Source organism: Homo sapiens, chromosome 11 (genome assembly GCF_000001405.40).
Source record: "Homo sapiens chromosome 11, GRCh38.p14 Primary Assembly".
Taxonomy (NCBI): Eukaryota; Metazoa; Chordata; class Mammalia; order Primates; family Hominidae; genus Homo; species Homo sapiens.
Window position 1 is genome coordinate 63492634 of NC_000011.10, and position 13028 is coordinate 63505661.

Consider the following 13028-nt stretch of genomic DNA (forward strand, 5'->3'; position numbering starts at 1 on the left):
GAATCTGCTGGTGCCTTGATCTTGGACTTCCCAGCCTCCAGAACTGTGAGAAATAAATTGTTGTTGTTTATAAGCCACCCAGCGTATGGTATTTTGTTATAGCAGCCCAAATGGACTAAGACAAATGGTATCATGCTGTTAAGTTCTCTTCTGCAATTTTCTTCTTTCAAAGTTGTTTCTATAATACATACACAGTGCTGTATAGTCCTGTAATTCATTTTCACTGCAGTAAAATATTCCACTATGTGGCTATACCACAATTTATTGACCTAGTGATAAAGCCACTTGGTGATTTGTTGGTTCTTTTTTTTTTTTTTTTTTTTTTCAATTTGGGGTTGGAAACAATTGAGAAGAACCCAATTTGTATCCTGGTGTATGCATGCAGACATCACACAAGATGTAATACCTAGGAGTATATACAAATATCCAACTTTACAATAAAACACTAGAACTATTTCCCCAATTGGTGGTCCCAATTTCACTTCTACCAGCAATGGGTAAGATTTATTAATTTACATCCTCACCAACACTTAGTATTGTCACACTTCTTGATTTTTCCAGGTGAGTGAATGTAAAATAGTATTTCACCAGCGTTTTAATTTGCATTTCCCTGATCACTAATAAAGTTGAGACCTTTACATATATTTATCACATTCCCTCTTTTTAAAAGTGTCTGTTCATGTCCTTTGCCCATTTTTCTTTGGAGTTGTGTTCTTTTTGATTTGTAGAGCTCTTTGTATATTCTTGATACTCATCTTTAGTCAGTTATACTTGTTTACACACATTTTCTTGCAGTTCATGGCTTGTCTTTTCACTTTCTTCATGATGTCTTCTGACAAGTAGAATTCATGTCTTTTCTTTTGTGGTCAGCTCCCTATCTTTTCATGAAGTCTTTCTTGCCCTGAATTCAGAAAACATTCTCTTATATTTTCTTTTTTTTTTTTTTTTTTTTTTTTTTTGGAGATGGAGTCTTGCTCTGTCGCCCAGGCTGGAGTGCAGTGGTGCTATCTTGGCTCACTGCAAGCTCTGCCTCCCGGGTTCACGCCATTCTCCTGCCTCAGCCTCCTGAGTAGCTGGGACTACAGACGCCCACCACCATGGCCAGCTAATTTTCTTTTTTTTTTTTTTTTTTTTTTTGTATTTTTAGTAGAGACAGGGTTTCACCATGTTAACCAGGATGGTCTCGATCTCCTGACCTCATGATCTGCCTGCCTTGGCCTCCCAAGTACTGGGATTACAGGCGTGAGCCACCGTGCCTGGCCAGATAGTCTCCTATATTTTCTTGAAAATGTTTTTAAATTTTGCCTTTTTCGCTAATCCATTTGGAATTGATTTTTGTATATGTGGGAGGCAGGGATCCAACTTCATTTTTCCTCATATGAATAACTGTCTCAGCATCACTTGTTGATAGTTTCCACTTCTTCATAGATGAACAAGGCCACCTCTGTCCTGCATAATGCTTTGAAAGAGCAGGAATACTGTTGACTCTATTCAGTATCACTGATAAATGTATCTGTCTTTGTGCTACTATCATGTGGTTTTAATTGCTACATCTTTATGATAAATCTTGATGTACAAATATCTCAAGATCCCTCCTTACTTATTCTTCCTCAGGAACTTCTCAACCATGCTTGAGCTTTTGCCTTTCATTATAAATTGCAAAACTAGTTTGTCAAGTTGCTCAAAATACCCTATTGGCATTTTGCTTGGAATTACAGTAAATCAATAAATCAGCTTGGCAATTTTGGCATCTTTACAAAATTGTTTCTTTCAGTTAATAATGTATTCTATCTCTCTATTGTTAGGTTTTAAAACCTTTCAATGAATTCTTCTAATATTCTTCATAAATATCTAATCTTAGTATATTGCATTTTCCCTCTACTTATTTGGAAGTTTACACTGTATTCTTTTACTTATTGCCCTTGAAATTTTAACATGTATGCTTAAGTCTAAAATTAATATCCTAAACAATCCTCTGAAACAATGTAAGGACCTTGGAACACTTTCACTCTAATCTTTCCTACCCATGCTATTTTAGTCTGCCCCTTTTTAATCCCCAATTCACATTATTATTACCATTATTATATTAGGCAGACATTCTTTTAGATTTGCCTATATGTTTGCCACCACCTTTGCTCATCATTCCTTCTTGCATCACAAACCTTCTGTCTGAGGTCACCTTTCTTCCCAAAATACAGATGGGCCTTGAAGGTCCTATAGTGAAGTTCTATTGGTGATTAACTGCTGGTTCTCACGGTGCTGAGATGAGGACCTCAGTGCTTCCTGTGACACCATGTGGAGGAGCTGAGATGGAGAAGCAGAAGGACTTCTAATTCTGGAAAGGCCTGTTAAATTAAGCTTAGCCTAAAGCTGCCTCCTTACGTATTTTAAGTTCAGCCTAAAGGTTTCTCTGTACATAGTGAAATGTAACTTAACTGGATGTGTAAACAGACTATAACCTACTCTTGTGCCAGCCACCGAGTTTTAGCCAACTGTTCAAATCATGTTCAAATAAGGCAAATGCCAAGCTGTAACCCGTCCAGCTGTTGCTGTACCTCACTTGTTTCTGTATATCACTTTCCTTTTTCTGACCATAAATCATCTTCGACAATGCAGTATCACTGGAGTGTCTCTGAATCTCCTGTGATTCGACAGGTTGCCTGATTCATAAATTATTTGCTCATTTAAACTATGTTCAATTTAATTTGTCTTTCTTTTGACACGCCCAAAGGGAGACCCAGGTGCCTCTCTGGCGGTGGGGGGTGAGAGTCCTCAGTGGCAGAGAGTGTTGGAATGAAAGAACTTTGCCTGCACACTGTCTCTATGGAGACCACATACACAAAGGCCCCCAGCACAAGAGAACTACGCAGAGCTGGAGGGAGTCCATGGACTGTCCCACGGCACACTAGAATCTATCACCTCTGTCCCTTCTCCATGCTCCCAACTGCAAAGGGAGGAAGAGGTGGTGTCTTTGAGGTAGACATAGTAGCCCCTGTCATCCTTCTATTCCAGGGTACTGCAGTGGGAGGGAGGGTGCCCAAAGGAGCAAACCGTGCTCCCCACATCCAGGCCCTTAGCCATGCATCTCACCTGCCATTAGTAGGATATGGAATCAAAAGCTTAACATTAATTATGGCTTTTGTTTTGAATTTCTACTTTTTACTATGGACATTTTCACATACATATGAAAGTAAGAAAGAAAAGAAGTATTCTGTTTGAGAAATGCAAGCCTCCTTTAAATTATCAGACCCAAAGAGACACTGGAATGAGAAGCAGTCGTGTCCCACTGCCCCCTTAAGCTTAGTAATGATTTCGAAGCTGCTTGCTAGGCAGGCTCCAGACTGAGAACCCACATAGCCTGCCACCCTCTGGATTATACCCATGGCATCTTTTTTTGTGGGGGGATTGGGGGGGATATTCATCCCTTCAAGGATTTATCCATTGTGTTACAAACAATCCAATTATATTCTTTTATTTTTAAATGTATAATTAAATTATTGACTATAGTCTCCCTGTTGTGATATCAATACTAGGTCTTATTCATTCTATTTTTTTGTACCCATTAACAATTCCCCCTCCCTCCCACCTCCCCACTACCCTTCCCAGCATCTGGTAAACATCCTTCTACTCTGTATCTCCATGAGTTTAATTGTTTTGATTTTTTAAATCCCACCAATAAACGAGAACATGTGATGTTTGTCTCTCTGTGCCCGGCTTATTTCACTTAGCATAATGACCTCCAGTTCCATCCATGTTGTTGCCAATGAGAGAATCTCATTCTTTCTCGTGGCTGAATATTACTCCCTTGTGTATATGTACCACAGTTTCTTTATCCATTCATCTGCTGAGACACTTTGCTTCCGAATCTTGGCTATTGTGAACAGTGCTGCAGTAAACATGGGCATGCAGATATCTCTCTGATATACTGACTTCCTTTCTTTTGGGCATATACCTAGCAGTGGGATTGCTGGATCATATGACGGCTCTATTTTTAGTTTTTAGGAACCGCCAAACTATTCTCTATAGTGGTTGTACTAATTTACATCCCCACCAACATTGCACAGCAGTTCCCTTTTGTCCACATCCTCCAGCATTTGTTATTGCCTGTCTTTTGGATACAAGCCATTTAATTGATATATCATTGTAATTTTGATGTGCATTTATCCGATGATCAGTGATGTTGAGCACTTTTTCATTTGCCTGTTTGCCATTTGTATGCCTTCTTTTGAGAAAATGTCTATTCAGATCATTTGCCTTTTTTAAAATCAAATTATTAGATTTTTTTCCTATAGAGTTATTTGAGCTTGTTATATATTCTGGTTATTCATCCCTTATCAGATAGGTAGTTTGTATATGTTTTCTCCCATTCTGTGGGTTGGCTTGACACTTTGTTGATTGTTTCCTTTGCTGTTCAGAAGATTTTAACTTGGTGTGATCCCATTTGTCCATTTTTGCTTTGGTTTTCTATGCTTGTGAGGTATTCCTCAAGAAACTTTTGCCAAGACCAACGTGAAAGTTACCCCAATGTTTTCTTGAAGTAGTTTCATGGTTTGAGGTCTTAGATTGAAGTTGTTAATCCACTTGATTTGATTTTTATATATGGCAAGAGATAGGAATCAAGTTTCATTCTTCTGCATGTGGATATCCAATTCTCACAACACCATTTATTGAAGAGATTGTCTTTTCATCCAATATATGTGCTTGGCACCTTTGTCAAAAATGAGTTCACTGTGGGTGTATGGATTTGTTTCTGAGTTCTGTATTCTGTTCCATTGGTCTATCTGTCTTTTTATGGCAGTAGCATGCTGTTTTGATTACTGTAACTCTGTAGTATAATTGGTAGTCAAATAATGTGATTCCTCCAGTTTTGTTCCTTTTACTCAGGATAGCTTTGGCTACTCTTGTGATTCCACACAAATTTTAGGATTTTTTTTTCAATTTCTGTGAAGAATTACATTGGTATTTTGATAGAGATTGCACTGAATCTGTAGATTGCTTTGGGTAGTATGGACATTTTAACAATATTGATTCTTCCAATCCATGAACATGAAATATCTTTCCATTTTTTGTGTGTCCTCTTCAACTTCTTTCATCATTGTTTCACAGTTTCATTGTAGAGATATTTCACTTCTTTGGTTAATTCCTAGGTCTTGGATTTTATTTGTGGATATTGTAAATGGGATTACTTTTTAAACTTCTTTTTCAGATTGTTCACTGTTGACACATAGAAATACTACTGATCTTTGCATGTTGATTTTGTATCCTGCAACATTACTGAGTTGGTTTATCAGTTCTAATAGTTTTTCGGTGGACTCTTTAGGTTTTTCCAAATATAAGATCATATAATCTACAAACAAGGATAATTTTACTTCTTCCATTCCAGTCTGGATGCCCTTTATTTCCTTCTCTTGTCTAATTGTTCTAACGAGAACTTCCAGTTCTATGTTGAATAACAGTGGTGACAGTAGGCATCCTTGTCATGTCCCAAATCTTAGAGGAGAGGCTTTCAGATTTTCCCCACTCAGTATGATACTAGCCATGCCAGCTGGTATCTCCCTAGGTCACATGCCACCCTAATTGATTGGCTGTATACCCAACCTGGCACTAGAAGTTGCCTAGGAATTGCAGTTCTTGTGTCCTAGACTGCCTTTCAAGTTTACCTAGGACCCCAGAGCACTTCACCCTGTGGTGGCTAGGCTTGCCAAGAAACTCAAGTTCTGACCACTGGCTAGGGCTGGTTCAAATGCTCCCTCCATGCCTGAGCGCTGGCTGAGCCCAGCATGGCTTTATTCTCTGCTGTGACAGAGCAGCACTGAGTTCCATGTAAAATCCTTCAGTCACCATGCTCTCCCTCCCCAGAGTGCACAGATTCTCTTCTCTATGGTGCATGGCCACTGCTAGGGGGTGGGGTAGGGGTGGTGTCAGCAATTCAAGACTGTCTCTCTTGCCTTCCTCAATGTCTCTTTCCACAATATGAAGTGAAAACCAGGTACCACAGTTGCTCACCTGATTTTTGGTCCTCGTGATGATGCTTTTCTGTGTGCAGATAGTTGATAAAATCTGGTGTTCCTGTGGTGGGGGGCGGGTGGTATAGGCTTCTATTCCACATCTCGCTCTGCCCCTTCTCTGTTTTTCATGAAGGACACTAGAATCTTCCCAGTCATCAGGTTCAAGATACTGGAGTCACTCATCCATCCCCTTTCCCTCGACTCCCTTATTCAGCTGGCTGTCAGGTTCTGTCAATTCTTCTTGCCTAGTATTTCTCCTAAATATCCTACCCTCTGTTCCAGAATGATTTGAAACTGACCTCTAGAGAAAGAGGATCCGTGGAAGAGTTTTCTAGTGATCTAGAAGGCTATCAGATAGAAGAGGGAGGCAGAGATATAGACCAAAGTAGGTGAAAGTACACATTAGTCCCTCCTCTAGGCCCCAAGAGTTACACCCATTCAGAAGCAGGGATTGTGAAAGAGCCTGCTGGAACAAAGAAGGGGACAGAGGGGGCCACCTCAAGATCCCTGACCACAAATTATTTTTCCTAGGCTGTTAATTGATAATTGATTAATAATAGTTATAATTGGGGTATTATAATTAGTAAATTATAATTTTTTATTATAATTTTAAATTTATATATAATTTTAAAATTATAATTTACTAATTGTAATGCCCCAATTATAATCTGTGGCCAGTTAGAAGAAGAGTATGGGACTAGTTTGTGCTTGAGCCACAATTCCAGGTCTACTGGGATAAATTGAGGAGCAGAGGCTGGACAAGAGCCATAAATCATCAGTGGTTATGAAACCACCTTTGCAAATTTATGATGGTGAGAAAATTATGACAGGGAAAGAGATCTGATCCAACTAACATCCATCTTGCTCTTGACCTCCAAACTGCCCTTGATCATTCCTGAGTTTAGGCCAAGCTAACTTTGGGAGACATTTATGTAAAAAGTAAAGTAGAGGTTCCTCTTCAAAGACTTTCCTCCCCATCTAATTAGAAATAAATAGTAACTTCTCTTAGAAGCAAAATTTATTCAAAGACCTGTGCTAACATTCTTAAATATCTGCTAGCCGTAATAGAGAAATCAATGTACTTTATGTTCTTAGCTCCCACAATTTAGCCTAAATATTTGCCCTGGCATGCTTATACTGGTCCAAGCAAGCATTAGGTTATAGCCTGTTCCTCTTCCTTATTTGAAGGTATTTTTACCTTTCTCAGCATTCCGCAAGTTACTTCCTCCTTCCTTTGTTCTCCTCTGCCTTTGCCTCTCTTAAAAAGCTCTAAGTTGCTAGCCAATCGGGACAACTACAGAATATGAGGTCCCGTTCCAGCCAGTGGAAACCGGACACAGCAGTAGGGTGAACACATCAGGTTATAAATGACCCTGTCTCCTTTGTTGAGTGTACTCTTATGGCAAAACTGCTGGCGAGTGTACCCTTTCTGCAGAAAGTATAAAAATGGCCTTGCTGAGAAAATTAAATTTATTTTCAAGTGCTATTTCATTATGGTACTGGGGAACAAACATTTCAAACATTTAGTTTATAGTTTAAATGATAATAGCCCTTCCCTAAAACTAACCCACCTTTGTAAAGCTAATGAAAGGCCACCAGGTTAGGAGGATGAGAGGAGCCTAGATTCTGCCAAGGTGTAGAGGTAAACAATTACCAGCCATTATTCCAGAGATCATAAGATTTGCAACTCCCCCAATTACTCCTGCAGATAATATCATGATTGTAGAACCTCAGATTGACAATTTGAGATGTATTTTCAGGTTTTTGCATTTCTGACAATCAACCGATGGCTCCACCTGGACCTGCCAACCCCGCCAAGCAGTCGTGGACCCAGAAGCAGACTCCCTGGCCTGCCAAACTATCCTTACAAAACCCTAGCCTCCAACTTTTCAGGAAGATTGATTTGAGTAATAACTCCATTTACCACGTGGCACGGCTGGCCTCAATGATTAAACTCTATTGCAATGCTGTGGTCTCAGTGAATTGGTTTTGTCTGTGCAATGGGCAGGAAGAACCCATGGGGCGGTTACAGTTACATTCATTCATTCCATAAATATATTTGAATACTCACTCTGTGTCAGGCACTTTGCTCAATACTGAGGGTATAGGAATAAGTCTGCCATCATGAAACATAGTCAGGGAGTACAGCGAATGGGGAGAAAAATTAAACAGTTCTTCAAATATACAACGAGTGATGGTAGGCATTGTAAGGGAAAAATGGAGTAGGGAGCTGAGCTGGCCGTGGGGATGCACCCCAACCACCTTGCACATGTGTTCTCAGGACCTCCTGAGGGCTGTCATGGGCCATGGTCACTCATATTTGGCTCAGAATAAATCTCTTCAAATATTTTAGAGTTCGACTCTTTTCATCAACAGGTGGGAATAGATGATCCCCTGCCAGGTTTGGGGAGAAAGGTGTGAGGACTAAACTCTGATTTTTTTATCTTGCCCAAATTCCTGAGGGGTCTGGGGAGTCATGCCCTACAAATCATAAATTCTCATCAGATGGGTTTTATTTAACCCTATATATTGTGACTGACTTTCCAACCTAGCTCTGGCATAACATTAGGAGACAAGGAAAAAAATCAAAATATTTTACCCCAAAACATGTTTCTTTGCCATATTTTGAAATGACCCTGCAAAGTTGTTCTTTGTGGGGGAAAATGTGCAACTGTAAAGAATCTCTGTTAACATAGCTAGGTTTTTTTCTTCCAGACCCTCCTAATCTCCTAAAGAGATTAACTGAGACCTGAATAGGAAACATTTGTCATCCATTGTCTCTAAGGGCAGCCACGATCAGACTTCAAAAGAACTTTGGTCTCCACAATCTTTATCTTAATCTGAACTTTCCCTTTCTATGAATTCCAGGTCTTTAGACAAACTCAACCAATTGTCAACCAGAAAATGTTTAAATTCACCTACAGCCTGGAAGCCCCCTGCCCCCCTCCTTCCTGCTTTGAGTTGTCCCACCTTTCTGGACCAAACAACCTATGTATATCTTTTTTTCTTTTCGTTTTTTTTTTTTTTTTTTTTGAGATGGATGGAGTTTTGCTCTGTCACCTAGGCTGAAGTGCAGTTGTGTGATCTCAGTTTACTGCAACTTCTGCCTCCTGGGTTCAAGTGATTCTTGTGCCTCAGCCTCCTGAGTGGCTGGGATCACAGGTGTGCACCACTATGCCTGGCTAATTTTTTTGTATTTTTAGTAGAGATGGGGGTTACACCATGTTGGCCAGGCTGGTCTCAAACTCCTGACCTCAAGTGATCCACCCACCTCGGCCTCCCAAAGTGCTGGGATTACAGGCGTGAGCCACTATGCCCAACCCCAAACCTATGTATTTCTTCAATGTATTTGATTGAGGTCTCTTGCCTCTCTAAAATGTATAAAACCAGGCTGCACCCCAACCACCTTGCACATGTGTTCTCAGGACCTCCTGAGGGCTGTCATGGGCCGTGGTCACTCATATTTGGCTCAGAATAAATCTCTTCAAATATTTTAGAGTTCGACTCTTTTCGTCAACAGGTGGGAATAGATGATGCCCTGCCAGTGTCAGGGTCACCCTAGGCCGTTGGCCCCCTGAGGTCACCAGCACTTTCCTGGATTTCTCTCACAAGTTCTCCCTCATTCTGGCTCAGGAAGAGAGACTGCTTCTCTCACCCCTAAACACTCACAGACACTGAGGCCCTTTCTTATCCTGGAGCAAGCAGAAGCTCTTGACAAGCCCAATAAAGTCAAAAAGCAGTTACCTAAAAAGAGAAAGGAAATGCACCATCCTCTTCCTGCAGCTGCCTCCCCGGAACAGGCCTCATCAGCCCTACCTCTGGCTGTGGCAATAGCCTTGGGGTTTCAGGAAGATAACAGTTACAGCTACTCCACTCTTAGGGGCTGAATTGGGTCCTTTCAAAAAGCCTGTGTTGAAGCCCCAGACCCTTAGAATGTGACTGTATCTGTAGGCAAGGCATTTTAAGAGGTGATTAAGGTAAAATGAAGTCATGTGGTTGGGCCCTCATCCAATATGACTGGAGTCCTCATAAGATGAGAAGATTAAGACACAAACGCAGAGACCTGGGGAAGGTGGCTATCTGCAAGCCAAAGAGAGAGGCCTCAGAAGAAACCAAACCCTCTGACATATTGATCTTGGACTTCTGGCCTCCAGAACAGTAAGAAAATAAGTTTCTGTTGTTCAAGCCACCTGGTCTGTGGGTTTTGTTATGGCAGTGAGGACTAAACTCTGACGTTTTTCTTCTCTTGCCTAAATTCCTATTTAAGGGGCCTGGGGAGTCACAACCTACAAACCATAAAATCTCAACAGAGGGGTTTTGTTTAACCTTACATAATGTGGCTCACTTTCCATACTGACTCTGACATAACATCACATGACGGATAAGAAGGAAATCAAATATTTTACCACCAAATATGTTTCTTTGCCATATTTTAAAATGGCCTGCAGAGCCATTCTCGTGGGGGGGAAATTGCATTTGTAAAAAATCTCTGCTAACATAACTAGATCTTTCCCCCTTCCAGGCCCTCCCAAGCCTGAAGAAATTAATTGAGTCTAGCACCTTTTTGGGGTCTGAATAGAAAACATTTGCCATCTATTGTCTCTAAGGGTGGCCACCCTTGAGGCTTCATCTACATAATGAGAACCCTGGTCTCCACAACCTCTTATCTTGACCCGGACACTCCCTTCTATTGATTCCAGGCCTTTAGATAATAACTTAACTCTTTCAACCAATAGCCAATCAGAAAGTCTTGGAGTCCCCCTATGACCTGTAACCCCCACCCCGACTCCCTCTTTGAGTTATGCCACCTTTCGAACCTGAACCAATCATAAAACCTGGCTGCAGCCCAACCACCTTAGGCACATGTTCTCAGGACCTCTTGGAACTGTGCCTTAGGCCTTGGTCACTCATATTTGCTTCAGAATAAACGTCTTTAAATATTTTACAGAGTTTGACTTTTTTTATCCACAGCAGCCCAAGCAAGCTAACGTATCCTCCTTCCTCATTTCACCCAGGAAGGAAGTGAGGCTGGATGGGGAAAGCACACCATTGACCTCAAGCCGCAAGATCTGCACTGGTTCCGGGGCTGGGACTAGGACCCAGATCTGATTCCAGTGCAGCGTCCCATGTCCAGACCCATTCAACTTGGAAACCAAAAGTAAAATTCTAGGCCCCACAACCAACTGAACGGACCCCTCCTCTCAGCCAAAGGCATTCCAAAGTTAACCTGAGAAACAGTTCAGACTGTGATGGGAAGTGGGGGTTGGATATGCCTTATTATGCCCTCTCCCCCTTTGAAATTCAGGCACAACTGACCAGCATTAACATTAAAACAAAAATCTGAAGACTGACTAAACAGACTCATTGTAGCAATAAGACACCAAGTTCTATCCTGGCTCTAGTATAGCATCACATGACAGAGGGCCCTGAAAGAAATTAAACCATTTTACCCCAAAATATTAATATACATATTTGACATATTTTGAAATGGCCCTGCAAACCTCACTCTTGTGGGGAAAATCTGCTCTGCAAAGCATCCCCTTCCCTTTCCAAGTCTTTTCCCTGATCCAGGCATCTTTTTAGGTCTGATAAGAGCTCTGATGCCTGCTTCCTGGAGGCTTCATCTGCATGATAAAACCTTGGTCTCCACACCCCTTAACTTAACCCAGACACTCCCTTCTACTGAGTCCAGGTCTGTAGGTACTTACTTAACTCTTTCAACCAATAACCAATCAGGAAGTCTTTGAATCCACCTATGACCTGGAAGCCCACCTCTTCGAGTTGTGCCACCTTTCTGGACCAAACCAATGTACATATCACATGTATTGCTTGATGTCTCATGTCTCCCTAAAATGTATAAAACCAAAATCTAGCTCAATAACCTTGAGCACACGTTCTCAGGATCTCCTGGGGCTGTGTCACAGGCCATTGGTCACTCATATTTGGGTCAGAATAAATCTCTTCAACTATTTCAGAATTTGACTCTTTTCTTCAAGAAACTGGCCCCTCCACCCTTAGCTTCCTCTCACTGTGTATACAGAGCACCCTTCCTGAGCACGTCTGATTGAATTTCTCCAAATAAGCACCTTCAGTAACCCAGCTCCACCTACTCGGCAACATCTGAACAAACTCAGCTCCGCACCCAAAGCCCTTCTAGTTCCATCCTAAGTCAATGCTTCTCAAACTTTAAAGTGCATCAGAATCACCTGGAGGGGCTGTTAAAATGCAGATTCCTGGCCCCAGCTTCCAGAGAGTGCTCCTCAGTTGGTCTGGGGTGGGGACCCCAAACTTGCATTTTTAACAAGTTTCCAGGTGAGGCTGATGCTGGTGGCTTGTGGACCACAGCTTAGGTAGCACTGGCTAAGATACCTTATCCCAGGACCCTTCATGCACTCTCCCTCCATCCAGGGAGCTGCTTACTCTGCCCTCAGCACCCCATGCGCTTGAGCCTTTGCCCAGCCTGGTCCTGGTCCAGGAATTCCCTGCTGCCAAGTCTGATGCAATGGGTCAGATCCTGGAACCTCCTAACTCAGGATAAAGTTGAGAGGTTGTGCTGCTTTTTAAAGGGAAAGCCTTATTGGGATTTGAACCAGAACTGGAAGGACTGTAGTAAAATGCAGATATTTGGGCCCACCCCCAGATACAGGCCTCGCTGTGGGACATGCTGCTATGGTCACTTTCTCCATGTACAGATGAACAAAGGGTGGCCCAGAGATAGGAAGTGACTTTCCCAAGGGCACACAGCACATTAGACGAGAGGCTGAAGAGGAAGTCAAGTTTCAAGTCTCCCTCCTGCGCAGTTCTGTGCTTCTTGTGCTGCCTTTTCCAAGCTTAAGGGGCTCTGCTTTTTCCCCTTCCCTCATTCTACTTTCTTGTGACCCCAGCTGGGCCCCAGCATTTCCAGCTGATGCTGAAATGGAGCCTCAGGGGGCTGTAAAACTTGGAAAAGGAAGAAGAGTAGAGGAAGGGGCAAGAAAATGAGAGGAAGAGAGCCAGGCGTGGTGGCTCATGCCTGTAATC

General features: G+C 41.8%; 1 long non-coding RNA gene across 1 annotated transcript, besides 2 other annotated features; it reads left to right on the forward strand.

The window, feature by feature from the left end:
- Window positions 1-2834: 2834 nt before the first annotated feature.
- LOC124902684 (uncharacterized) lies at window positions 2835-7976 on the forward strand. The gene is made up of 2 exons (XR_007062702.1): window positions 2835-2976; window positions 7769-7976. It is a non-coding gene; the product is annotated as an uncharacterized LOC124902684 (long non-coding RNA).
- Window positions 8530-9057: an enhancer, noted in NCBI's record as "NANOG hESC enhancer chr11:63268635-63269162 (GRCh37/hg19 assembly coordinates)". NCBI's record gives its function as "activates a minimal SCP1, AML or CMV promoter by ChIP-STARR-seq in primed H9 embryonic stem cells {active_cell/tissue: H9 hESC(primed)}" and the evidence as "EXISTENCE:reporter gene assay evidence [ECO:0000049][PMID:30033119]".
- Window positions 10373-11043: an enhancer, noted in NCBI's record as "NANOG-H3K27ac hESC enhancer chr11:63270478-63271148 (GRCh37/hg19 assembly coordinates)". NCBI's record gives its function as "activates a minimal SCP1, AML or CMV promoter by ChIP-STARR-seq in naive and primed H9 embryonic stem cells {active_cell/tissue: H9 hESC(naive and primed)}" and the evidence as "EXISTENCE:reporter gene assay evidence [ECO:0000049][PMID:30033119]".